Here is a 27,910-nt window from a genome sequence, read left to right on the forward strand (position 1 = left end):
TAAAATGTGGGTCATTTCTTTATTATTTTATTTGTATTGGTTAACAATGATCAGCCATGCAAGAATAAATGATTATTGTAAAATCTGCAAACAATGTAGATATGTAGAGAGTCCCTTCCTTGGAGCTTGACCTTGTCAGACAGGTATAGATGAGTGTTCCGGGGCAGCCGTAAAAACTGCCAGAGACTGGGCTGCTTATAACAGAAACGCATGGTCTCCCAGAAGCCCACATTCAAGGTGTCCAAAGGCCTGGCTCCTGGAGGCTCTGGAGGAGAGCCTGTTCCCTGTCTCTCAGCTTCTGCCGGTTGCCAGCAAGTGTTGCCGTTCATTCACTCCAGCCACTGCCTCCATCTGCACACAGCAAAACAGCGTATCCTGAAGTGCTCAACCTTATAGCCATTATTTTAAAATATCCGGAACACACAGGACCGTGGGAGTGGCTGTTGGAGAAATTTTCATGAAGGAAGAAAGATTACAACTAAGTTTTAAAATGCTAATTTTGTTTGTTTTGTCTTGGAGAGGAGGTCAAAGTGGGAGTAAAAATAGGGAGTTTGGTGTAAGGTGGGAAAAGCAAAGGAACCCCGCATGGATGGGCTGAAGGGTGTGATGGGAGAACAGTGAGAAGTACGTTTGGGGAAGCAATTGGAAATAGTAGCTAAGCTTAATCACAATCTATCAAAAGGGACTTGTTGAAGAATTAATGTGTGACTAGGAACAGGGAGGTTATGGGCTTGTCAGCTCGACAGTGGGCACTCAGTTCCACTAACGAATGATGCCCGTGTGGACAGACAGAATGATGGACAGGCAGATGAATGCGTGGGCTTTATGTGAAAAAGGTCCTCTTGGTTGTTGACAAGATACTGTTTTAAAGTTCCATTTTGCCATACTTCGAACAGCTTGTCATTAGCTCAATTTAGCCACATGTGAAATCACTAAGGCGGACGGACTTCCAGAGTTCCCACATGAAAATCAAATGTAAACCAGCAGTGACCTGCTTCAACACCATCATCGGAAGTCAGAAGTTGAACTCTTTTTTGATGTTTAAAGCCTGCATAATATTCGCTGTATTATTATTCAGCATATTACTATTTCCTTCGTGATGGAAATTTGGTTTATCCCAATTTTCTGTTCTATCAAAACACCGCTACATAGAAAATCCCCATGCACATATTTCTCCTAATTGTGGAAATATTTTACATAAAAGACTCTTGACATGGGATGAAATTCCCAGGTTATTGGAATTTTAATATAGATAGGTACTTCCAAATTGACCTCTTACAAATTATATGAATTCGTAAGCTTCCAACTGTTATGGAGTTACCCATTTTGAGAAATCTGTGCTAAAAGGACCCAAACAATGCTGATGACAATGATCAGGATAATAAGTACGCTGGGAAGACAACAAAATGATTTAGATCTTAGACAAGTCATTCTAGGTGTCTCCACTGTTTCAGTTCTTGCGTTCGTTCATTCTTGTGCTTTTTCATTTTACCAAATAAAATAGCTCCTTGATGTCATATGAATCCACGCTATGCTTAATGAGTATTGGTTAGTAAAATGCCTATAACTAGTAATCTTCATCTATGCAATTAAATATTCATTCATAAAACACTTCAAATGTAAACAATAATTAGTAAAAGAAAAGTACATAATACCTCAATTAGAAAAAAATCACTCCATTAAAAAGACATTATTTGTGTGATAAAAGAGATTGCCATTTTTGTATTTTTCTACAAGGTTAAAGAAAACTAAGTCAACTTATACAAGTGAATTTTAAAAGACTTTAGGGCAGGCGTGGTGGCTCACACCTGTAATCCCAGCACTTTAAGAGGCCGAGGAGGGCAGATCACCTGAGGTCAGGAGTTCGAAACCAGCCTGACCAACATGGTGAAATCTCATTTCTACTAAAAATACAAAAAAATTAGCCCAGTGTGGTGGCATGTGCCTATAATCTCAGCTACTTGGGAGGCTGAGACAGGAGAATAGTTTGAACCTGGGAGGCGGAGGTTGCAATGAACCAGGATCGCACCATTGCACTCCAGCTTGGGCAACAAGAGTGAAACTCCATCTCAAAAATAAATAAATAAATAAATAAAATAAATAAAAGCCTTTAACCCAGAATGCTGAGTAAATTGGCCAAAAATGCTAACCTATGCATTTCAATATTATAGGAGTTGCATGGGTAGAAATAACCAGATGAAATACTTCTGGTATTTCACCTTCCCAACCCACACGAGCCAGTGTTTTTCTGTGAATAACAAAAACAGCAGAATTTACTTGCCTCTCCATAAGAGGTTACCACTTCTGTGTGTTCCCCCGAAACAGGTGGTGGCTGGGTGAGAAGGTGGACAGCACTAGGGCAGGAGATGGGGGCTCCAGTATCGTGGGTGAGCTTCCTAAACCTCTGCAACTTTCAGCCCCTAAATGGGATGAGCCATCAGAATTTTTAGCACAATGCCCAGAACAAAGTAAGGATTTGACAAATGACGCCTCTCTCCACATTGTTCTGTCATCAGCCACCGCATCCTGTACCTCCAAGCCCACTGGGCTCCGGCTGTTTCCATCACATGGAGAATGACTCAGAGCCTGGCCTCCAGCCACCCTCCTGGCCTTTCTTCTTCTCACTCTGCCACTGGCTCCTCATGGACCACCAGCCTGGGTGTCCTCAGACATACCACACACTTCACTGTGGGAGTCACGCAGCCCTCACTGCTCCTTCGCCAGGGAGCCACGGGGCTTTCCTCCTCAGGAGGACTCTGCAAGCAGCTGGATGAAGGGCCCTCCCGTCTCTCATCCTTCCTTAATTTTTGTCACAGTTCTCCTTCCTTCCACTCAGTGCAGCGCACACTGATTGATCCTCCATCTTCCCCAAAAGACAGGAACAGCATGAGCAGTGGAGAGTAGATTCCAATGATAGAAAAAATAGTCAGTGATTTCTCATTTCCATTGATCATCAATGAAGAAAATGTATCCTGAAGGTCATGTACCTCCTATGGGACTGCTGCATCCTCAGCCTCCTGAATTTCAGCCCAGCACCTTCCTCCCCAGCACAGCAACAGGTCAGCCCTTACCAGCATCCCTCTCTTATTGCCTTTGTGCAGAGCCAGCACCAGGGCCAGGGGAGGCCTTGGGATTGTCCCTCCCCAACAATCTGTGAAACAATCCTTTATGTCACCAACAAAGCACAGCCTTCTGCACTGGTGGTCAGTCCCTCTCAACACCTCTGTCACTGTAAAGCTGGCAGGCAACCCTCCAAGGTTGGCCTTCCCAAGCACTGCACCTCTAGGTGACAGAGCACGTCCTTACCTTGAAGCCTGGGCGCCCAGTCTATCCTGTCCAATGAGCGAGCTGTGGAGAAGGGGGGATTCCGGGTTAAGGGGAGACTAGCAGGGCTCCTGCTTTTATGTTGCCCTGTTGGGAAGGCTATTAAAGAAACACAAAGTGCTAAGCAGTGAGGATAGAACATGTTTTCATTATTTCAACCAATACATTCCACAGATGGAATAATAAGAAATGCTACAACCAAGCTAACTGAATCCAACAGCATATCAAAAAGATAATCCACCATGATTCAAGTGGGTTTCATACTAGGGATGCAGGGATGGTTTAACATACGCAAGTCAATAAATGTGATACATCACATCAATAAAACTAAAAACAAAAATCACATGATAATCTGAATAGATGCAGAAAAAGCCTTTGACAAAATCCAGCATTTCTTTATGATTAAAACCGTTCGTCAAAATCAGCATAGAACGGACATACCTTAAGGTAATAAAAGCTATCTATGACAAACCCACAGCCAACATTTTCCTGAATGGGGGAGAGTTGAAAGCATTCCCCCTGAGGAAGGGAACAAGACAAAGATGCCCACGTTCACCGCTTCTCAACACAGTGCTGTTCACTACAGCATTGGTTATAAGAGCAAGACTGGAAACAGAACAAACGGATACCCATAGCGGGGTGCTTAAGTAATTTTGGGAATAGTCATGGGGTGCAGTACTTTATAGCTCTGAAACAATACAATGGATTTACATTTGAAATGTGGAATGATAACTAAGGTGCATTGCCCAGTGATATATGCAGAGGTGCAGAGGACTTTGTGTAAACACGATCACACATCAGCCTGCATTCCAGGTGCATGCTTCTATTTGCACATAGATTGCAGGGATGATATGCAAACAAAAATGTTGACTTGGTGTTTGGAAGTTCAGAGTGGAAGGGAAACTTCCTTGCTAACCTTTTATGATATTTAGAGTTTCTAAATGTGAATACGTAATACATTTAGAAATCTTAGTTAATAAGAAAAGCCTCTGTTCCTGGCCTCTTGCTGGCACATGTCAGGTGGAAATGGGGCTGTCATGCTAATGTGTGCAAACTGAGAAAAATCCAAGAATGGGAGTCTGCTTTTTTCATCATACAAATAATTGTTAATAGAAACAGTATGATAATTGCTCATTGATATACCATGCATATTCTATTAGATAATAATAAATTTCTGAAATTTGAACTATACTTACACATGGAAATTGAAATATATGGATGAAACATTGTGGCTTATATAGGCAATTGTTTTATTGGCATTTTACAAACTGATCATCATTCCTCATGGCACGGGTCCATGTGATATTAAGTAGCTTGTTATGCTTGGGAAAGGCAGTGATGACCACAAGAATGACTTCAACTACTAAAGTACAATGGAGATTTCAACAATGTTTTGTTTAATATTTAAATATTTCATTGTGCTCCCAGGCTTTTTCTCACCCTAATAGCTCTCATCCATATCATGTGGGTCCCATTAATACAGATACTTCCGAATGCACCACTCTTCCATTATATCCAGTCAATTGCTGGTTACCTTGGGCCTACCAACTGGGGGAGGGCAGGGGCTGCTGGCCACCTCCTCATCTACAGTAAGAGTCAATGAGCAGTTAAATGGATACTGAAAACCATTTATCCTGCTGGAGTGAGAAATAAATGGTTTCTTTCAATAGCGTAGTAAAATGCATCTTTTCCAAACTATTTATATGACTCAAGGCCCATCTCAATTTCAGATGTGGTTAGCCTCAATTCCTGATTCTCACCAAGGTGTGTAATGTCATCCACGGCCCAGTGCAGAGGAACACAGGTGCTGCCGTCAGACTGCCAGGGTCCGATCCCGCCTCCTCACTCACCCCGGGAGATCCCTTTAAGCCAGGAGTCAACAGTGAGGATGGAAACATGAGTGCTTTTTAAAGTCCTGAAAGTTCAGAGGCAGACTGTCAATTTCTCCTCCACCCCTGGGCACACACCAGGAGAACTCTGTCTCCAGGTTGAAGGAAGTGCCTGTGAGAGAGTTGTGTCCCTCAGATTCTGTTCACCACAGGTGACACTCGATGCAACCCCAAACCTCTTCTGCACAATCCCAAGGGGTGCTGACTAATCCAACCCAAAGGCTGTGATGTTTGGCAGAGGCAGAAAAGAAAAGGCCAGGTGTTCTGGGAAAGACCACCTTTAAATATCACAGCACCCTCATAGCCCAGAGAGACAGTTCTAACTATTATGCCAATAAACCCGGAAAAGACCAAATCCAATATGACACATATTTCCTGTTTCCTTTTGATTTCATGCCCCCTCCCTTAACCTCCCAAGCAGCATGGATACCCCGAAGGCCCCTGGGAACTCTCTCCAATTGGATCTTACGTGGAAAGTAGTTACCTACCTACAAATCCCCATCATCAGATATGCTCTCCACAATCAAATCTTTAGAAACACAAACACCAGGATAAGTCATTAGAGAGAGGCCCACCCACTCCTCCCACCCTAGCTGAAGCCATGGTGCTTCGCACAGGATCCCCTGGTGTTTCCTCTGGGCTCACAGATATCCCTACAGCCTCTCTGGACATTGTTTTATACTTGCAAAATCATTTGCTCTCACCAGACTCCAAATCCTCCTTCCCAAAAGGAGCCCAGAATCAGGTTTCTGTACCCTAGAGATGGCGTTTTTTCCTCAGGAAGTGAGTTATTTCAGGGTAGGTATCATTCTCCAGTGTCAATGGCTCCTGCAATTATAGAAAAGAAAACATTAGGAGGGTGAAATGATGCCATACACGTCACACAGATCTGATAGTCTCTCGACAACTTGAGAGAGAAAATAAGAAGGGGTATAGTGATTGAGTCAAAGGTCAAAGTCCCCCAAAACTGGCACGGAAGACACCTGTGGAAAAGACAAGACCTTTTCCCACAGAATTTATCTTTAAAGTGTATCTAGATTGGCAGTTTCACAACTCTTAATCCATGGGGGAAAACTGCTGTGGAGGGAAACACCTCTGCATTGCAGTGGATCGTGGATGCTGCCATCTACCACACCCCAGTGTGCCTGGCATGGGTTGGTGAGAGGCTGCCAATCAATAGCACCACACCAAGGGAATTGCAGATGTCATAAATAGTCCACATTGGCAGATGTTCATGTCTACATTTGATTAAACTGCAGATGACATCGATAATGCACACTGGCAGATGTTCATGTCTACATCTGATTGGAAAGAAGCCAGGAAAGTAACATTTCTGTTCAAGACAAAGAAAAGTGTCTTACATTGGCAGCATCTTCTTTTTTACAGATGTCTTGTACAGTGTCCTCATTAGCAATGTCATATACAGCGTCCTTATTAGCGAATTCGTATACAGCATCCTCATTAGCGATGCCATATACAGCGTCCTCATTAGCGATGTTGTATACAGCGTCCTCATTAGTGATGTCGTATAGAGCGTCCTCATTAGCGATGTCATATACAATGTCCTCATTAGCGATGTCATATACAGCAACCTCATTCGCTATGTCTTGTAAAGCATCCTCATTAGCGATGTCATATACAACGTCCTCATTAGCGATGTCGTATACAGCGTCCTCGTTAGTGATGTCTTGTACGGTGTCCTTATAAGCAATGTCGTCTACAGCGTCCTTGTTAGCATGCCTTGTGGGTGTCATTAGCGATGTCATATAGAGCATCCTCATTGGTGATGTCTTATATGGTGTCCTCATTAGCGATGTTGTGTACAGCGTCCTCGTTAGCAATGCCTTGTACAGTGTCCTCGTTAGCAATGTCATATACAGTGTCCTCATTAGCGATGGCTTGTACACTGTCCTCATTAGCGATGTTGTGTACAGCATCCTTGTTAGCGTGCCTTGTACGGTGTCATTAGCGATGTCGTATACAGCGTCATAATTAGCGATGTCTTATAAGGTGTCATCATTAGTGATGTTGTGTACAGCGTCATCGTTAGCGATGCCTTGTATGGTGTCCTCATTAGCGATGTCGTATACAGCGTGCTCACTAGCGATGTCTTTTTTTTATATATATACTTTAAGTTTTAGGGTACATGTGCACATTGTGCAGGTTAGTTACATATGTATACATGTGCCACGCTGGTGCGCTGCACCCACTAACTCATCATCTAGCATTAGGTATATCTCCCGATGCTATCCCTCCCCCCTCCCCCCACCCCACAACAGTCCCCAGAATGTGATATTCCCCTTCCTGTGTCCATGTGATCTCATTGTTCAATTCCCACCTATGAGTGAGAATATGCGGTGTTTGGTTTTTTGTTCTTGCGATAGTTACTAGCGATGTCTTATACGCTGTCCTCATTAGCAATGTCGTGTACAGCGTCCACGTTAGCGTGCCTTGTCGGTATCATTAGCAATGTCGTATAAAGCGCCCTCATTGGTGATGTCTTGTACGGTGCCGTCATTAGCGATGTTGTGTACAGTGTCCTTGTTAGCGACGGCTTGTATGGTGTCCTCGTTAGCGATGTCGTATACAGCGTCCTCATTACCGATGCCTTGTATGGTGTCCTCATTAGCGATGTCGTGTACAGCGTCCTCGTTAGCGTGCCTTGTACGGTGTCATTAGCGATGTCATATACGGCACCCTCATTAGCGATGTCGTATACGGAGTCCTCATTAGCGATGCCGTGCACGGCATCCTCGTTAGCAATGCCGTGGGCAGCGTCCTCGTTGGCGATGCCATGGGTGGCGTCCTCGTTGGCGATGCCGTGGACGGCGTCCTCGTTGGCGATGCCCTGGGCGGCGTCCTCCTTGGCGATCCCGTGGGCGGCGTCCTCCTTGGCGATGCCCTGGGCGGCGTCCTCGTTGGCGATGCCCTGGGCGGCGTCCTCGTTGGCGATGCCCTGGGCGGCGACCTCGTTGGCGATGCCCTGGGCGGCATCCTCGCTGGCGATTCCGTGGGCGGCGTCCTCGTTGGCGATGCCCTGGGCGGCGTCCTCGTTGGCGATGCCCTTGTCGGCGGCCTCGTTAGCGATGCCGTGGACAGTATCCTCGTTAGCGATGTCGTGTGTGGCGTCCTGGTTAGTGATGTCATGTACGGTGTCCTCATGGGGAGCTAGAAAAACACAGAGTTAAGGTCAGTGCCCTGGTGGTGGAGACTGTGAATCACCCAGGGGCTTGCTTGGTGTGATGCATGGAGGTGGCTGATCACAGCATGGGTCAAGCTGATGCTGGGACATCCTCCCAGGTGGACCTGCACTAGTGAAGCTAAGGGATGTGGCTCAGAACACTTTCTGCAGTGGGAATCAGTTTCCAGGTTCAGGTATGCATTATCTGGTGAAGTGGGGAAATATAAAAAATAAAAATTGACAAATTCATGAAAAGCCTTCCATGAGTGCAAGTGTGAGTTTTTTATCCACTTTACATTCAGTATGCATTCACACATACAAAATATTTTTACAAGAAATCAGAAATTTTAATTTTTGTCAGTTATGTGAAATCTAACTTAGCTGCCAGCATAAAGATTCTATCTCATTTACTTGGTCTCGAGAAAATCTAGCACATAGTAAGTAGACCAAAATGTTTATTAAATGAAAACACAGAGCAGAGATAGGGGGGCTGCTAGGCAGACTGGGTTGCACCTGATTACCTGGATGATAATAAACTGCACAAAACCTCGGTCAAATTAATATTGAAACTGCCTTTTGCTTGGGCTCATTTCCCTTGCGGAAGAAGGATGACCAAGAAGATGAACAGGAAAGAAATGAGAAACAGAGGCCTTTGCTTAGTAGCTAAAGGCCACCTTCTGTAACATGAAATAGTCTACAAGTGGCCTTGAACTCTGCCGTGATTTAGTGACAGAGTTCCCTCATGTCTTCTACCCAGGTTGAAGTCCAGCAAAATTGCGACTGTCCTCTTTACAACTTGCGAGACCACACTGCTTCTGCATTTGCCTGTTGTATGTATGAGATTTACACTTGTTTTAGAGCAACATTTTGTTTCAGTTGGGCTGGTGGCCATACCCGGCACTAGCCGGTCAATAGTGAGATGGCTCCTCATGGAGGAGGCTTGGCTTGAGGCTGAGGGTCTTTAACCCACATATACAAGAGAGTTGCCACTAAGGGATGGAAGCCAGGCTAATAACCAAGTGCCACACAGAGTTCCTATCTGTCCCTCCTCACCATTTTTGGCTGGCAGGATTTGAGCATTTTAGGGCTTGGGAAGATAGTATTACTAAATCTACTAAAGTACATCACCCATCCTTATAGACTTTGGCCAGTTGCTGAGCAAATTAACTTCACAACTGAAGTGGGCCACACTGGCCTTTGTGGTCCCCCACTCCTCTTAGAATTTGTGAGCGTGGGGCCTACTGGAGGGTGGGAGGTGGGAGGAGGGGGTGGATCAGGAAAAATAACTGATATTAGGCTCAATATATGGGTGATGCAATAATCTGTACAACAAACTCTCATGACACACATTTATATATGTAGCAAACCTGCACATCCTGCACATGTACCCCTGAACTGAAAAGTTAAATAAAAAAAAGGGATCTGTGAGCTGAGCCAAACACCTGGGGATCTTTGTGCTTTTGACACACTGATGACTATGCCGGTCCGTGGGGAGATGAGCCTATAACTGCCCTGGGTTGTGTGACCACGGAGGCCACTTTATGATGATGGGCAGTGTCTGGGGCCTCTTGGGCTCGTTGCTTTAGGGCTTATACATGAATGCTGGACTCCCTGTGTGGTGGTGAACACCCCATGACTAAGTGCATGTCAGCGTCAGCACTGGCCCACACTCCTGGGTTCGTGTTTTCACTGTTTCATTCAGGAACTCGGGAGCTGGGGCCACTCCCTTGGCCCTTCAGGTTCTCCACCTGAGCAGTGGGGATAATAAGGCAGACCCGGGGATGGCTCTGGTGAGGGTGGAGGAGTCACTGTACAGAGAGAGTAGAGCGGGGGTGGATTTTATTGTTAGAAGTGGACACTGGTGATTGGGTTGTATAAGTGGGAAATCTCTCCTGAGAAAACACACAGCCTCACCTGTACAGAAACACACACATTCACACCACACGATGCAGCCTCACACAAGACACCACCAATCCTCAAGCACCCAACTCAGCACCACCCAAAAGGGAGCACAGCTGCTTCCTCAAAATTTGGCCATAATTTTTCCCTGGGGAATTCAGGTTTTAAAAAAACACTTCCCCTATACTTATTCCTATCACAATCCCAGGATCAGGGAGGCTCTTCACATTGAAACCAGGCAAGGATGCCACACCTTTCTTGGCATCCAGATTGTTTTCTTGGCAAGTGATTCCAGAATACTTACTAGATTCAAGCCTCAGAGGGGCCACCTGCACCACCTGCAATACAGAAACAAAGCTTTTTGAGGGGTATGTCATGTTGTGGATTGTTTGCACAAGGCTCTGTTTCTCTCAATGAATACTGAAAACTTGATCAGAAAGTGTAGTCAACTTCAAGGCCTCCAAAACAAGAGTAGGATACACACTGGAAAAGACATCAGCTTCTGGATGGTGGATCTCTCAGGTCCACGTAGGTTGGCAAGTGCAAAATACTGAATCCAAGGAGAAGACATTGCTTCCAAGGACAAGGACCCCAAGGATACAGTCTACAACCTGAAGCCGTCATAGCTAAATGCCATTTTGGATTACATATCAGTTGCTAAGAGTCACTTCTTCCTCCCCCTCAGAAAACTGCATTTAATACCTGTCATGGACATTGTCATTTTTTCACATGTAAAGTCAGTTGAAAAAGAAAGACACCAAGAAAGGAACATTTCTATTTCAGAGAAAGCAAGGCAACCTTACCCTCGCGTTGACTGGCCTCTCTCCATCTCCTCTGTCCTTGTGAACTAGAGACTCCTCAGAGGCTAGGAGGACACAGAGCAACAGTTAGTCATAGATGCTTTTGTTCATGAGTTATTCAGGGAGCTCTGCTTAATGTGGACAACAGGACAGTGTGTGTGGATGTGTTTCATTAAAAGCACAGCTTGAGCTCCTGCTAGAAAATCTTCCCTCGTGGAAAGACAGGCAAGAACGAGGAGCTAAGGAGCGAGAAATAGAGTCCCTGGCATTTTGCTGATGGCAACTTAAGAAAATGGGAATGAGTCAGTCTACAAATGGTACTGAAGCACATGCTATAGTTTGATGAGAGTCCCACTGCTCACACTGTGAGGTTTGAAACCCAGCTAAATGGTTTTCTAAACCTGTAAAAACAATATTAGCTTGCAGGATTTATGTCCCAAGACTACTTTTACCTCTGAGGATCCACAGTGGCTGTCACTGCAGTTATGTGTTTTAGCATTTTGCACTTGAATAAAAGCAAAGTTTAATAGATAGATTGGATTCAATTCTAGGCAAAACAGTCTATGGTATTTATTCACTAATCCTTTGTTATAACTGCTGATGGGAGAATTAGAAGTACTGAAATTATATCCTTTAAAATTAATTAAAGCATAATTATTAATCACACAATATTTTTTCATCCAGGCCTCCTTTTCTTTGTCATGCATGCATATTAATTGAGGATGGAGAATATCTACGCTTGTTCAGGCCAGCCAACATACGACAGTTTACTTCAAGAGAGGAGACATGGGTTGAATGCTGGTGTGTTTTAACTCTGCAGTGCAAACAGCTGCAACAAGTGTGGTGAACTAAACACCAGATGGCCCTTTGCTGCCTTATTTGTCATTGTGCCTTACATGTAGCTTGCAGGATTTGATTACGCTTATGTTTTGTGGTGATCATACTTTCAACTATTCCTAAAATACTGCTTCAGTCTTATCTGTTTGGGGTCAACTGCCGAGGATTTCATACAAATTAATGAAGTTTGTGAATCTAAAGTTCTACACAAAGGTGGAAATATTTGCAAATCATTTATCTTGTAAGAGACTAAAATTTAGAATATATTTTAAATATATTTAAGATATATTCAAAAATCTACAGCAACAAACTAACTAAATAAAAATCAGACAACTCTTTAAAAATGGGCAAAAGACTTCAACATATATTTCCCTAAAGAAGATACAGCCACAGATAGTAGCACAGGAAAAGCTGCTCAGGATCATTAGTCATTAGGGAAATGCAAATGAAAAACACAAGCAGCCACCAATATACACCTACTAGGATGATTTAAAGGAAAATAAGTGTGAAGAAGGACGTAAAGAAATTGTAACCCTGATACATTGATGGTAGAAATGGATAAAGTTGCAGCCACTGTGAAAAACAGTCTGCAGTGGCTCAGAAGGTTAAATATAGAACCCCTGTTGGACCCAGGAACTCTATTCTTAGGCACCCCAAAGAATAGAGAACAGAAATCAAACAGATGTTTGTATACTAATGTTTGCAGCATCACTTTTCACAGGAGCCAAAAGGTGGAAATAATCCAACCATCAGTGAACAAATGAATGTAACAAAAGCAAGGTGGTCTGCATGCAATGCTACATCATCCATCTGTAAAAAACGAACATCATTTTGATAGATGATACAACATGGGTGGACATTGAGAACATTATGCTTAGTGAAATAAGCCAGACACAAAAGGAATATATTGTATAATTGTAATTACATGAAGTGCCTAGAATAGTCAAATTCATACAAGAGAAAGTGGGATAGGAATCACCATGGGCTGGAAATAGGGGGAAGGTGCTATATTGCTTATTGTGGACAAGGTTTTGTAAGAAATCATCAAAATTGTGGGTGTAGATAGTGGTGTTGGTTATGCAACCCTGTGAATATATTGAATGCCATGGAGTGCACACTTTGGTTAAAAGGTTCAAATGATAAATATTGTGTTATATATATTTCCCCACGATAGAAAACACGCACAGCCAAGCCCAGATGCCAGTCTTGTTAGCTGCCTTCCTTTACCTTCAAGAGTGGGCTGAAGCTTGTCCAATCTTTCAAGATTGCTGAAGACTGTATGATGGAAGTCATCTGCATTGGGAAAGAAATTAATGGAGAGAGGAGAAAATTTGAGAATCCACAGTACTCACCCTGCAGGGCCAAGAACTCTGTCTCCCATGCTTTGCTGTCCTGTCTCAGTATTTCCTGTGACCACCTCCTTTTTCAACTGAAGACTTTGCACCTGAAGGGGTTCCCAGGTTTTTCACCTCGGCCCTTGTCAGGACTGATCCTCTCAACTACTGACCATTTCACCTCCATTCATGTCCATGCCACATCAGGCTGTGTTGTCTAGATGGAATGAATCCACCCCAAATGTCCCTTTCTGGAGGAAGCCACCATTATGCTGTACCTCCAAGCATAATGGTACGTCCACACACACCAAGGCACCTCGCTCATGCAAGGTGTGTGTCCTCTAACAAAGTTTCACGCTCTAAACCCAGATAACTTTTGAAACCCAAGTTCTGTTGATTCCCCTACTTTGGGTGCTCCATAGATGCTCATTTGTCTACTAAACACTGCCCCAGGCAATTAAATATTCCAAAGTGACCAGCAGAATTTTTATGTTAATTCTGACATTGCGTTGTTAGTACAAGTGTTTTTCCCCCTTCAAATTTATGTCTTTGTTACTGATAAATGTAACTGATAATGCGTTTTTCAGCTATGTTGCCAAGCATATTTATATAAAAATATACTCAGATTGTTTTCAGAATTTGACAAAGATGATAGCAACAATGATAATCTTATTTGTTTTATACCAATCTTTATGTGTTACTTTCATCATTTCTTACATATTGGGGCCTACCATACATTGTACGGTGAAATTAGTGCTATGCATCATGGTAGAAATATAAATTGGCAAAAGTAATTTAGAAAATAGTTCCCTTCTTTCTTAAAAAAATTAGGCTGGGTGTGGTGGCTCATGCCTATAATCCCAGCACTTTGGGAGGCAGAGATGGGTGGATCACCTGAGGCTAGGAGTTTGAGACTAGCCTGACCAACACAGCAAAATCCTGTCTCTCCTGAAAATACAAAAATTATCCAGGCATGGTGGCGTGTGCCAGTTGTCCCAGCTACTCGGGAGGTTGAGGCACGAGAATTGCTTAAACCTGGGAGGTGGAGGTTCCAGTGAGCCGAGATTGTGCCACTGCACTCCAGCCTGGGTCTCAGAAAAAAAAAAATTTTTTTGACCAAAATGTCATTATGCATTACATGACTGTATATGAATGCTCAAAGCTACATTACTCATCAAAGAAAATAACAAAACAATTAAATGTCCATTAACTGATAAATGAATAAACACTATCTGTATGAGTAAACACAGCAGACTATGAAGGAAAACACATGACCAGCACGTGCTAACACGTCAATTAACTTCAAACATAGTATGCTAAATGAAGGAAGTCAGATTCCAAATATATATATATGTCCATTTCTATTAAGCAAATGGGAAATTTATGGAGATGGAATGTCACAGCAGTATTGCTTAGGGCTGGAGATGGGAGTGGGGATTAACTGCCAGTGCGCAAGAGAGAACTTGGGTGAGGGAAACATATTTAAATTAGATCGTGGTGATGGGTGCACACAGTATCAATTTAATAAAGCATCAAATTGTAGACCTTTTCAGTGGGCAAACTTTATGGTGGGTTCACACCCAATATAGGTGTTAAAAATAAATTAATGTTACGGAAATTCTTGTCGGGTTTTTAACAAGCCAAGAGATATGCTGTGAAAGCAGCATTAATTCAAATGGTTGTCACAGGTCACTTAAAGTTAGATAGTTGTCCTACAAATATAGGGTGAATGTTATTCATGAATTTCCTGAATCTATTGCAATAATCACATTTTTTTCCATTAAACTCTTGAGGTAGCTAATTTTATTTATTGCATTTTCAATGTTAATCTACTATTTCATATATTGAGATTAACTCACATTAGTCAGAATTTACAGTATTTTAAAATATCACAGAATTTAATTTACCTTATCTGGTTTTGGTTTCAAGACTATACTAGCCATTTCATTTAATTGTACATGTAGGGTATTCTAATTTATGGAAAACTATTACATCTTCCTTGATTTTTTTTTTTTTTTAGAAATTACTTCTAGGGATCTATATGGTAGAGTCCATGGAGAATTGTTTTAATTCTTCATTCATGTCTTCAGTGGGTATAGGATTGGTCATATTGGTCATAGTTTTCTGCTCGGATTTCAATAAGAAACTTGTGGAAGAACCTGAAGGGTGGGATCTTTGAGGGAGCCTAAGACAGAGCAAGACAAGCTAAGAAGGAGGGCAGTGCCACAGCAGAACTGCCATTGATGCCCCCTCGCCTAGATTGCGGAAGAGACATCCAGCTGTAGACACTGAGGTGCAGGAAAACAATGGAGCACCATCAGAGAAAGCAGTGCCCAGGAACAAGGAGGCACTGATGGTGGCAAGGGGCAAAGACAGCTGCCACGAGGCTGTTCACATGAGGGTCTCAGGCTGCATAGACACCCACACCAGCTGAGGGGTCCTGGTTTTCATAAAGTGTGTGGCTCAGCCAGGCCACCAACAAGCAGTTCACAAACAGTAGTAATACGACACTTTCCAAAGACCTTACTTGAGTAACACGGTGATCCTCACAAATTTCCAATCAGGATGGTCGCACAGTTCCTCCTGCTTTAGGACTCAGAGCCTGCCCGTGGTCACAGTGGGTAGGTGCAGACTCTGAAGATGCACTTTGGTCAGAGACCCTGCTGAACTCTGTCTAATGAGGACCTCTGTCCTGTCTGCTGACCACCGGTCAGAGGTGCAGGCTGCAGTGGGGAGTAAGAATGCCACCTTCTCAATGTTGGGAAAACTCCCTGCCAGAACTGAGAATGGCCCTTTCTAAGCAGAAGGCAAGCTCAGACTAAAGAAGGAGGCCGAACACATCAGGTTGGCAGATTGCCAAAGATTCACTCAGGGAGAGCCCACATCCTGGGCCATCTTGGGTGGTGGCAAGATGAGGTAGACGACTGCTTTTGCAACACACACCTGACAACAAAAAATCAACAACTGTAAAAGAGCCACAAAATCCCCAAATATTTGCAAATTAGCAATGCACTTTTAAATAACTGTTGGGTTAAAGAAGAAGTCTCAATAGAAAATTAAAAGTACTTTTAACTACATTAAAAGAAAATGTGACTTGGCAAGATTTCTGGATGTAGCAAAAGCAGTCCTTAGAGGGAAATCTATAGCATTGGATGCAATATACTAAAAATCACAAGACCTAAAATCAGTAATATCATGTTTCAATTAGGGAACTATAGAAAATAGAGGAATGCAATGGAAAGCAAGTAAAAGTAATAAACAACATCACAGAAATCAATAAAATTAAAACACTGAAATCATCAGAAAATCAATAAAACCAAAAGCTGGTTCTTTGATATGCTCATTACAATGAATGAATTGATATGCAGGCTAACCAAGAAAAAGAAGATAACACAAATGACCAATTTCAGAAATAAAAGAGGAGCCATCTCTACTGAACTGTTAGGCATTAAAAGGAATATCATGAACAGTTCTATGAGCGCAGTTTGATAACCTCAGTGAAATGTATCAATTCCTTGAAAGGCAATCTTCCCAAGGTCATGCTAGGATCCTAATTTGAATAAACTTATGTCTATTAAATAAGTTGAATTCACATTAAGAGCATTCCGAAAAAGAAAGCACCAGGCCCAGATGGTTTCTCTCATGAAATCTACCGAATTCTTCAACAGGTGAATAAAAAGACAAAAATTCATTTAATGCAATATTATTTGGTGATTTAATGTGCCATTTTTTGCCATTAAGGCATAAAAAAGACATGAAAGCAGCTAAAGCGTACATCAATTTAGTGCAATAAATTCATCTGAAAAAACTACATAATATATGATTCCAACTATATGACATTCTGGAAAAGGCAAAGCTGAAGCGATAGTAAAAATATTAATAGTTGCCAAGGTTTCTGGAGAAAGAGGACAGAGATTAATGAGAAGAGAGGATTTTTAGGGAAGTGAACATTTTCTTTATGAGACCATAAGGGTGAACATAATGTTTTAAATATTTCAAAATTCATATATATGTATAACAGAAAGAATGAACATTATGCAAATGCAGACTTCAGATAATAATGTGTCAATATTTTCTCATTATTCTAGCAAATGTACCACAGTAATGTAAGATGTTACTAATAGGTGAAATTAGGAAGTGAGGGTGAGGAGACAGAATAATATGGGAACTTCGTGTATTATATACTCAATTTTTATTTATTTATTTATTTATTTATTTATTTATTTATTTTGAGATGGAGTTTCACTCTTGTCACCCAGGCTGGAGTGCAATGGCATGATCTTGGCTCACTGCAACCTCTGCCTCCCGGGTTCAAGCGATTCTCCTGCCTCAGCCTCCTGAGTAGCTGGGATTACAGGCGCCTGCCACCACACCCGGCTAATTTTTTTGGATTTTTAGTAGAGATGGGGTTTCACCATGTTGGCCAGGCTGGTCTCCAACTCCTGACCTCAGATGATCCGCCTGCCTTGGCCTCCTAAAGTGCTGGGATTATAAGTGTGAGCCACCACACACGGCCATATGCTCAGTTTTTATGTCAATTTAAAACTCTCTAAAGAAATATATTAATTGAAAAATAATAATATAGCACCACTCTTTCAGGGAGATCTATGCTTATGTTTAACAACCAGGTAAGTTCTAGACATTAGCTTGAAACATTGTCTATCATTAAACATGAACCAAAATTGACTTTTAAGTAGATATTTACTTTTGTGGTGGTAGCAATATTTACTGACCAGGCAAATTAGAATCCTGACACATTAAAAAATATGGCTTAGTCTCTTCATAGTTTCCTCTTACATATGGGACACTGAATACTCCCCGCAACTGCAATTCTTGAATCAACTTAATTAATGAACTTCCACAGTACCTTCTTGTGGGTACCTCTTCTTCTTTACCCGGGAGCCATGAGGTCTCCTACACTGGTTGGTGTGCACAGCATATCTTCTTATATTCTCTATCAGAGAAGATGCTGGTTAATGCATTTACAATAGATAGGGCTGTTGACATCTTGCTGACAGAGGACCAGAGGGAAAATAGTGATAATCTGTTCTAAGTTTAAACTTATGATCCTTTTCTTTACAGGCTTCCAAGCAGAGCCCACTGAATCAAAGTTGGGTTTCAGGAAGATCACGGAGTTCAGTGAGCACTCAACACCTCTATCAGACAGACTGCGTGGGCAGTGCCTTCCTGGAGAGGAGAATACAGCAGGATGACTGTGAGTGCAGGGCTGGTGCAGAGTAGGGGCCCGGATTCAAATTCCACTAAGCCATGTGGACCTGGCAAGCTCATGTCCTCCCTCTGCCCTCAGTTCTCTGCACTGTCATAATGTAATTTTAGCAATACTTTTTAGGCCCTATTTAGGCCCTACTTCTTAGTATCACAGTACAGGGCTAAAAAATCACTAAATACAGGAAAACCTTAGAGAGGACTGGTACTTCAGTAATGTTCTCTAAGTGTTTACTACAGGCCAGGAGGAATAAGCTGGACACTCAGCAGTGGCGGAATATGGAGGGGGAACTTGGATGGCTCCGGGGCAGTGGAGCATGCTTTCCTGTTCGGCTTTTCCGTGGGCATGATGCCTTATGGTTTATGGAGAACATCAGCCCTGCAGGGGGTGCAGAGGAGGGGCTGTGGCTGAGATTTTACACTTGAGGGTGCTGACATTCAGAGATGATAAGTGACGAGCAGAACCTCAACCCCGCTGAGTGAAGGACCTGAGATGGGAAATGTATTTGGTTCCCTAGAGAGAGAGATTCCTGAAAAACTGCCACCTCTTCATCACGCCCTGTGCCAGAGACCCAAGAGACCCCTCACTGTTTTTCTCCAGTCCTCCTAGCCCAAGGTGTGTGGGTGGACAAAGGTGATGCTCTGGAGGAAATGCCTGAGATAAGGACAGGTCCTTAATGATAAAGAATTCTCCTTCCTCTTTCAGATCCTTGACCTCCCAGTATGACAGCTTAAAGGCTGTCATCTCTGTGGCCTGCCTCCCCTTTCCCTTCACCCTGCCAGCTGCCTCTCAGTGACTGTCTCCTCCAGTGACTACACTGAGGGACCAGGGACTGCTTGCCTCCCGAGGCTGCTCAGACCTTCCGACACTGCAAAATGATTGTCAAAAGATGGGTCTGCAAAGAGTAACTTCCCTTCCACTGATCAAACCTGAATATGCAAGCTACTGTGAATTAACTGGAAAAGTGGCCGTGTGGGCTGGTGCTTTGGTGATTTAATGAATTAAGTCTGCAACCCCCACTGCCTCCTTGACTATTGATCAGAGCTGCCTGCAATAAGGTCTGGCTAAGAATGGGCAGTGGCTGCACCAGCTCTGGGTAAAATTTGACCTAAAATGACCAGTCTCATTCACTAACCTCACCATAGTCTTATGGGTTCAATGGACCTGTCCAATCCTTTGCTCTGTTCTCTCCATCACCTTCCTGTGTAATTTTCCTCCACCACGCACATAAGAGAAACATGGCACAGGGGAGCTAATCGCCTCTTTTATCCCCCACTTCAGGCTCACACGTAAGTTTATAGTAAAAGCCTTTTCAAATGACTGCTTTAACTGCTGCTACAGCATGTGTCATCAGTTGAATGGAATCTGTCACGTGACTTTAAGCAACCCTTTGCTGAGAGACAAGATTCAATACTAGGGACAGTATTCTAGTGTACTACATCATTGATTTTATGTTATGAAGATCATCATTTATTGAAAATGTATAAATAATGAAGCCCAGCCTTACTCTTCAACGCTGTGTGTGTAAATCCACTGAGTGTGCTGACCCCCACGCTTGTACCCACCTGCTAACACAGAAAGGGTCCACTCAGAAGGCAGGCACAGCTCCAGCACTGAGGCTGTCCACACCAGCTTCACAAGAGGGTTGCCACAAGGACGACGGATACCCGGATAACAACCAAATGGTAATTTGAGTACTTAATGGTCATGATCCCTAAAGTGTGTAGCTCAGAGGGCTTGTGGTGATAACTCCATCAAGACTCTAAAGCATCTCCCCAATTCTTACTGGACTTGATCCATGTCTTGAGGAGACCCAGCTATGACACGCAGGCACCACGTTGTCCTACTTAGTGCCTCCCTTAGTGTTTCAGAACCTGTGATTTGATCAGAAACATGGGCTTTCTATGTTGGTTTCACACTAAGGACTATGTGACACCTGCAGGAAGATGTCTACATAGCTACCTGGATTATGAGATCATGAGGCTGTCTTATGTGAGGGATGGCGTTTGGGATCTCTGCAGGCGTGGGTAATTCCAGGCATAGAGGGTGCTGGAACTCCCTTGCATGGTGAATAGTGATCTCTTCACTGGCTGATAAATAGTGGTTGTAGTTCAGGCCTTCAACATTAGCACCGTATGAGGAAACATTTTGACTCTTCACTATGCAGCAAGTGAACCAGGGCACATTTATTTATGTGGCTTAGTTTCTCCATCTGGCATGTGGGCTCAATAAACAAGCTCACAACATATGGGCATGATGATGATGAGGTGTGAACTAATGTAAGTAAAGTATGTGGTCTGATTTGTTAAATTAAGAAACATGGCACTGAGAGTTGTGCTGGGTAAACACAACATTTTTTTCCTAGGGGAAACACACATAGACACACATTCACAAGCAAATCATGCAGACTTGCACACAGACCACCTCACCCCACCCCCGCCCTAATACACACATACCCACACACAACCTAATGTGAACATGTTCCCAGAAACTATACATAGATAAAAAGAGTATGTCACCAGGAAAACCAGTTTCTTTTACTATACCCTACATCCTCATTCCCACCAGATGTCTTGGATCATGGAGGCTCTCCAGACAAAAGCCAGCAGTTAAGCTCCAGATTTCCTGTAGAATCCTTTTCTAACAACCAGTGAGTGATTCCAGAATACGTACCATTGAATGTGCTCCCTGAAGTCACCTGTAATTAGAGAAGGAAAACACTCTGAGAATCAGGCTATGCTATGGATGGCTCACACAGGTCTTTTGTTCACTTGGAAACTCTGGGTAACCAAGACTGGAAATAAGGTTCAAGTCAAAAGCCCCAACTCTAGAGTAGAGTTGCCTTAGGAAAGCACAGGAGCTTTTGTTGAAGAATGTTTCTGTCTAGGTAATTTTTGAGTAGCAATTGCAGAATTCTTATCTAAAGTGGAAAGCTTGTTCCTGAAGAAAACATCCCTTAACACCCAGTGTACTATCTGACACTGCCAATTTTGCACGTCCTCTGGAATCAGGTGTCAGTTGGTAAAATACACCTCCTCCATCCCCAAGGAAATATTATCTAACACCTATAATGTAGTGGAGAATTTTCCCATAGCTGATATCAACTGAAAAATAAAGGATCCAAGAAAACAACATTTACATCTTAGGCAAAGACAGGCTACTTTACCTTGGTAGTAGAGTAGGGCTTCCTTTTCACACGCTTTTTGGAAGGCTTCTTCGAGTCACCTAGGGGATGTGGAGGGACACAGCATGGCTGTCAGTTCATTGGCAGTGCTACTCATGAATGACTCAGGGACTGGAACTTAGGGGCGTGCCTGGTTAACAAGCATGGAATGAGCTTCTCCTGGACCATCTTCTTCACGGACCAAGGAAGGCAAAGAAAGAGCAGCAAGGAAATGAGAGTAGAGCCCTTGGCTTTCCAGGTAATGGCAAATGAAAGCAACGTGAAATAATCAACTCCAAATGAACAAATGCTAAAACACATGCTACGATTCAACCACAGCATCCTGTCACTTCTTCAGACCCTTTAAAAGCCCAGCAGGACTGCCACTACCTTCTTGACATCGACCAAGTCCCTTTCAACCTCCACAGACCCACATACACTGCTACTGCATTTATCATGGAGGGTATAGGGTTCTGCCCTGTTTATGTGTGAATTTTTTAAAAACTAGATTTAATACCATGCACCAGCATTAATTGTATTTATTTCTTTTCTTGGTTATGAAAATAATCAGTCAGGCATAGTGGCTCACACCTGTAATCCCAGCAGTTTGGAAGGTGGAGGTGGGTGGATCATTTGAGGTCAGGAGTTCGAGACCAGCCTGACCAACATGGTAAAACCCCATCATTGAAGATAAATGTTTTATATCCATGGTTAACAGATGAGATGACCATGAAATGAACACCAGTGTACTGGGTGGAGCAGCTTATCTATTCAGTCTTCGGCACTAAAACCTGTGAAACAATATCATCTTGCCTTATTTACTAACAAATACAAGTGCCTCTAAACTTAGACAGTTTCCAAGTCATGGAACTGATGAGCACTTAGCTCCTGCAGAGAGCTCTGGATGATGGGTCGGGAGAACAAAGACACAATACATCAAAACAGCATTCACAAGTAAACAGGTTTTCAAAGCCCTCTACATGCAAATTTACACAATTATCCTTTTAATTTTTATCTTCATATATATGTACATAATCTACTTGCTTCTGAGTATAAATCAAACTGTATGTTCTTAGTTAATAGTCTCTATAAATTCACTCTATTTATCTTTCTGAGTTGAAATACTGCATCTCATTGGATAACAAAAAAAAAAATTTGACTAAGATTACACTGGAAAGGTGAGTAGGTTGGGTGATTGACTGTGATTGACAATTCCATGATTCTGGATAACTTCCAAAGCATAAAAATAAATGTGTGTTTTCTTTCACACGTAGACAATACACATGCTTATTACTTTAAAAAATTAATATGTGCATGGAAGTGACTTACTACAAATATATTAAAGTAAATACACATTTCACAAAAAAAGAAGAGAGGAAGGGAAAAACATGTTAAAAACAAAGAGAGTTACATTTTATTGTGTGAAAAGCCTCCAACGGATCCTTACTACTGTGGCTTTGTTCCAAAGTTTTGGAAAGTAATGATTTCATAGGTTCTTAATTGGGTTAAAAACAGCATTAAAATAGACTTCGCCATATTCTCCCCAGGGGAATAACTTAATCTGTGGGGTGGGGGATGGAACGTTGAAGGATGCAGGTTGAAGGATGCAGGATGTAAAAGGAAATTATATATATATTATGACATATATTATATTATATATATTATGACATATATTATATTATGACATATATTATATATGACATATATATAATATATGATAATTATATTATGTATATAATATATATTATTTATATATATTATATATATTATATATATGATATATAATTATTTATTATATATTATATATTATATAATATATAATATATAATTATATATCATATATATTATATATATAATATATATTATTTATTATATATTATATAATATATAATATATATAATATATAATTATATATTATATATTATATATTATATATTATATATAATATATAAATAATATATATTATATACATAATATATAATATATAATATATATAATATATATAATATATAATATTATACATATTATATATAATATATATTATATATACTATATATATTATATATAATATATATTATATATCCTATATATATTATATATAGTATATATATTTTATATATAATATAAAATATATATAATATATTACATATAATGTATATATTATATATAATATATATGTTATATATATTATATATTATATAAAATATATATAATATATTATATATTATATATATTATATATATATATATAAAATTTGGGAATTTGGGAATAAACGGACTCCCAATTCACACTGGGACTACACCAGCTGCCACCATGCCTGGCTAATTGATTGTATTTGTAGTAGAGACAGGGTTTCACTGTATTCGCCAGGATGGTCTTGATCTCCTCACCTTGTGATCCTCTTGCCTTGGCCTCCCAAAGTGCTGGGATTACAGGCCTGAGTCAAGATACATATTTTTTAAATGAAGAAAAATTTCAAAGATACTCTGCTTGGTACAGTAATCAAATATATAAATTGAGGAATAAAACATAATCATGAAACATATTTATAACTGCATATGGAAAATACAGAGGCTAATTTTTTAAATAACATATTTTGAAAGCATTAACTAGTAATTTGAAAAGATCGCATTTGACAGGCCAGTATGAACATACCTTGAATGCAGCCACACAGGTTCCCCATAAGAAAAATCAAAATCAGGGAAAATGAAACCACAATGGTTCAATCTGCTCTGACCTTTGAAAAACTCAGCACAGATAGTGGCACGTAGGACCAAGGGCAGGAGATCCCTAATCCCATCACCATGGTGATAGGGCATAAACATTCCAGGGTGAAGGCACAATCCACACTGTGAGGTCCAACTGCTGCCATGCAGACAGGTGGGCTTTTACAACTACAGGAAGGTCATCAAAGGCTCAGTGTTTTGTTTCAAAAACTGAATCCCAAGCCCACACATTATTATGCTGGCTTCTTAAAATAAGTTATGAGATGGGAAATAGGGCACCCAAAAATATATATATATATAATTATATATAATATAATATATAGTATATATATAATATATTTAATATATTTTTTATATATATATATATAAAATTTGGGAATTTGGGAATAAACTGAATCCCAATTCACACTGGGACTACACCAGCTGCCACCATGCCTGGCTAATTTTTTCTATTTGTAGTAGAGACAGGGTTTCACTGTATTGGCCAGGATGGTCTTGATCTCCTCACCTTGTGATCCTCTTGCCTTGGGCTCCCAAAGTGCTGGGATTACAGGCCTGAGTCAAGACACATATTTTTTAAATGAAGAAAAATTTCAAAGATACTCTGCTTGGTACAATAATCAAATATATAAATTGAGGAATAAAACATAATCATGAAACATATTTATAACTGCATATGGAAAATACAGAGGCTAATTTTTTAAATAATATATTTTGAAAGTATTAACTAGTAATTTGAAAAGATCGCATTTGACAGGCCAGTAAGAACATACCTTGAATGCAGCCACACAGGTTCCCCATAAGAAAAATCAAAATCAGGGAAAATGAAACCACAATGGTTCAATCTGCTCTGACGTTTGAAAAACTCAGCACAGATAGTGGCACTTAGGACCAAGGGCAGGAGATCCCTAATCCCATCACCATGGCGATAGGGCATAAACATTCCAGGGTGAAGGCACAATCCACACTGTGAGGTCCAACTGCTGCCATGCAGACAGGTGAGGGCTTTTACAACTACAGGAAGGTCATCAAAGGCTCAGTGTTTTGTTTCAAAAACTGAATCCCAAGCCCACACATTATTATGCTGGCTTCTTAAAATAAGTTATGAGATGGGAAATAGGGCACCCAAAAAAATATATATATATAATTATATATGACATAATATATATAATATATATAACATATATATAATTTCCTTTTACATCCTGCATCCTTATATTATATATAATATTATGTATAATATAATAGGTATTATTATATATAATATAATATATATGAATATATATAGCAATATAATATAATATATGTAATTATATATAATGATATATAATATATAATTATCTATATTATATATAATATAATATATATAATATAATATAATATATAATATATTATATTATATAGTAATATATATTATAATATATTCTATATTGTATTATATAATAATATAATATAATATATATTATATATAATATATATTATATATAATATAATATAATATATAATATAATATATAATATAATATAATATATAATATAATATAATATATAATATAATATATAACATAATATATAATATAATATATAAAATAATAATTAATATTTAAATTAATTATTATTAATTAATATTAACTAATATTAAAAATAATATAAAATACAATTAATATATCTAATATAACCTATAATTATTATATATAATATAATATACAATTATACATAATATATATAATAAAATATATATAATTATGTGTATTTATTACATATAATATAATACATAAATTATATATAATTATTACATATAATATAATATATACTTATATATAATTATTACATATAATATAATATATAATTATATATAATTATTACCTATAATATAATATATATAATTATATAATTATATATAATTATATATACAAGATAATAATACATAATATATATAATATATTATACAATATAATATATTGTATAATATATTATATAAGATATTATATATAATATGTTGTATAAAATATATATATTATATATAATATAATATTATGTATAATATAATATATAATATATATTATATTATAACATATTATACAATAATATATTATAATATAATGTATATTATAATCTAATATATTATATATTATAATCTAATATTATATATTATAATCTAATATAATATTATATATTATAATCTAATATAATATTATATTATATATAACATTATATAGTATTATATATTTTATAATAATATAATATATAATATATTATGATATATTATATATAATATTATATAATATATTATGACATATTATATATAATATATAAAATGATATATTATATATATTACATAATATATTATGATATATATTATATATTATATAATATATTATGATATATATAATATAATATAATATAATTATATGTAATATAACATTATATATCATATATTATATATTATATATCATATATTATATATCATATATTATATATTATATACCATATATTATATATTATATATCATATATTACATATAATATATGTCACATATTGTATGTAATATATGTCACATATTATATGTAATATATATCATATATTATATGTAATATATATCATATATTATATGTAATATATATCATATATTATATGTAATATATATCATATATTATATGTAATATATATCATATATTATATGTAATATATATCATATATTATATATGTCTTTTATTATGTAATATGTATCATAGATATTACATAACGTGACATATAATATATATTATTTATATATAATGTATATTATATTTTATATATATTATATATATTATATATTATATGTTTTATGTAATATATAGTACATATAATATACATTATATATATATAATTTTTTTTAGACAGATTCTTGTTCTGTTGCACAGGCTGGAATGCAATGGTGCCATCTTGGCTCACTGCAACCTCTGCCTCACGGGTGGAAGCGATTGTCCTGCTTCAGCCTCCCAGGTAGCTGGGGCTACACCACACTGGGACTACACCAGCTGCCACCATGCCTGGCTAATTTTTTGTATTTTTAGTAGAGATAGGGTTTCGCCACATTGGCCAGGATGGTCTTCATCTCCTCACCTTGTGATCCTCTTGCCTTGGCCTCCCAAAGTGCTGGGATTACAGGCTTGAGCCAAGATACATATTTTTTAAATGAAGAAAAATTTCAAAGGTACTCTGCTTGGTACAATAATCAAATATATAAATTGAGGAATAAAACCTAACCATGAAACATATTTATAACTGCATATGGAAAATACAGAGGCTAATTTTTTAAATAACATATTTTGAAAGCATTAACTAGTAATTTGAAAAGATCGCATTTGACAGGCCAGTATGAACATACCTTGAATGCAGCCACACAGGTTCCCCATAAGAAAAATCAAAATCAGGGAAAATGAAACCACAAAGGTTCAATCTGCTCTGACCTTTGAAAAACTCAGCACAGATAGTGGCACTTAGGACCAAGGGCAGCAGATCCCTAATCCCATCACCATGGCGATAGGG

General features: G+C 39.2%; 1 long non-coding RNA gene across 1 annotated transcript, besides 1 other annotated feature; it reads right to left on the minus strand.

Moving 5' to 3' along the window:
* On the minus strand, nt 1-27,884 carry FAM230D (family with sequence similarity 230 member D). Its single transcript, NR_136570.2, has 12 exons — nt 27,750-27,884; nt 21,658-21,716; nt 21,165-21,189; nt 18,132-18,218; nt 13,158-13,223; nt 11,097-11,158; nt 10,598-10,631; nt 6,575-8,381; nt 5,969-6,041; nt 5,702-5,742; nt 5,085-5,239; nt 1-440 (listed from the first exon to the last, which is right to left on the minus strand). It is a non-coding gene; the product is annotated as a family with sequence similarity 230 member D (long non-coding RNA).
* Nucleotides 25,135-25,636: an enhancer, noted in NCBI's record as "OCT4 hESC enhancer chr22:18685927-18686428 (GRCh37/hg19 assembly coordinates)". NCBI's record gives its function as "activates a minimal SCP1, AML or CMV promoter by ChIP-STARR-seq in primed H9 embryonic stem cells {active_cell/tissue: H9 hESC(primed)}" and the evidence as "EXISTENCE:reporter gene assay evidence [ECO:0000049][PMID:30033119]".
* Nucleotides 27,885-27,910: the final 26 nt, after the last annotated feature.

The sequence above is a fragment of the Homo sapiens genome, chromosome 22 (assembly GCF_000001405.40).
Source record: "Homo sapiens chromosome 22, GRCh38.p14 Primary Assembly".
Taxonomy (NCBI): Eukaryota; Metazoa; Chordata; class Mammalia; order Primates; family Hominidae; genus Homo; species Homo sapiens.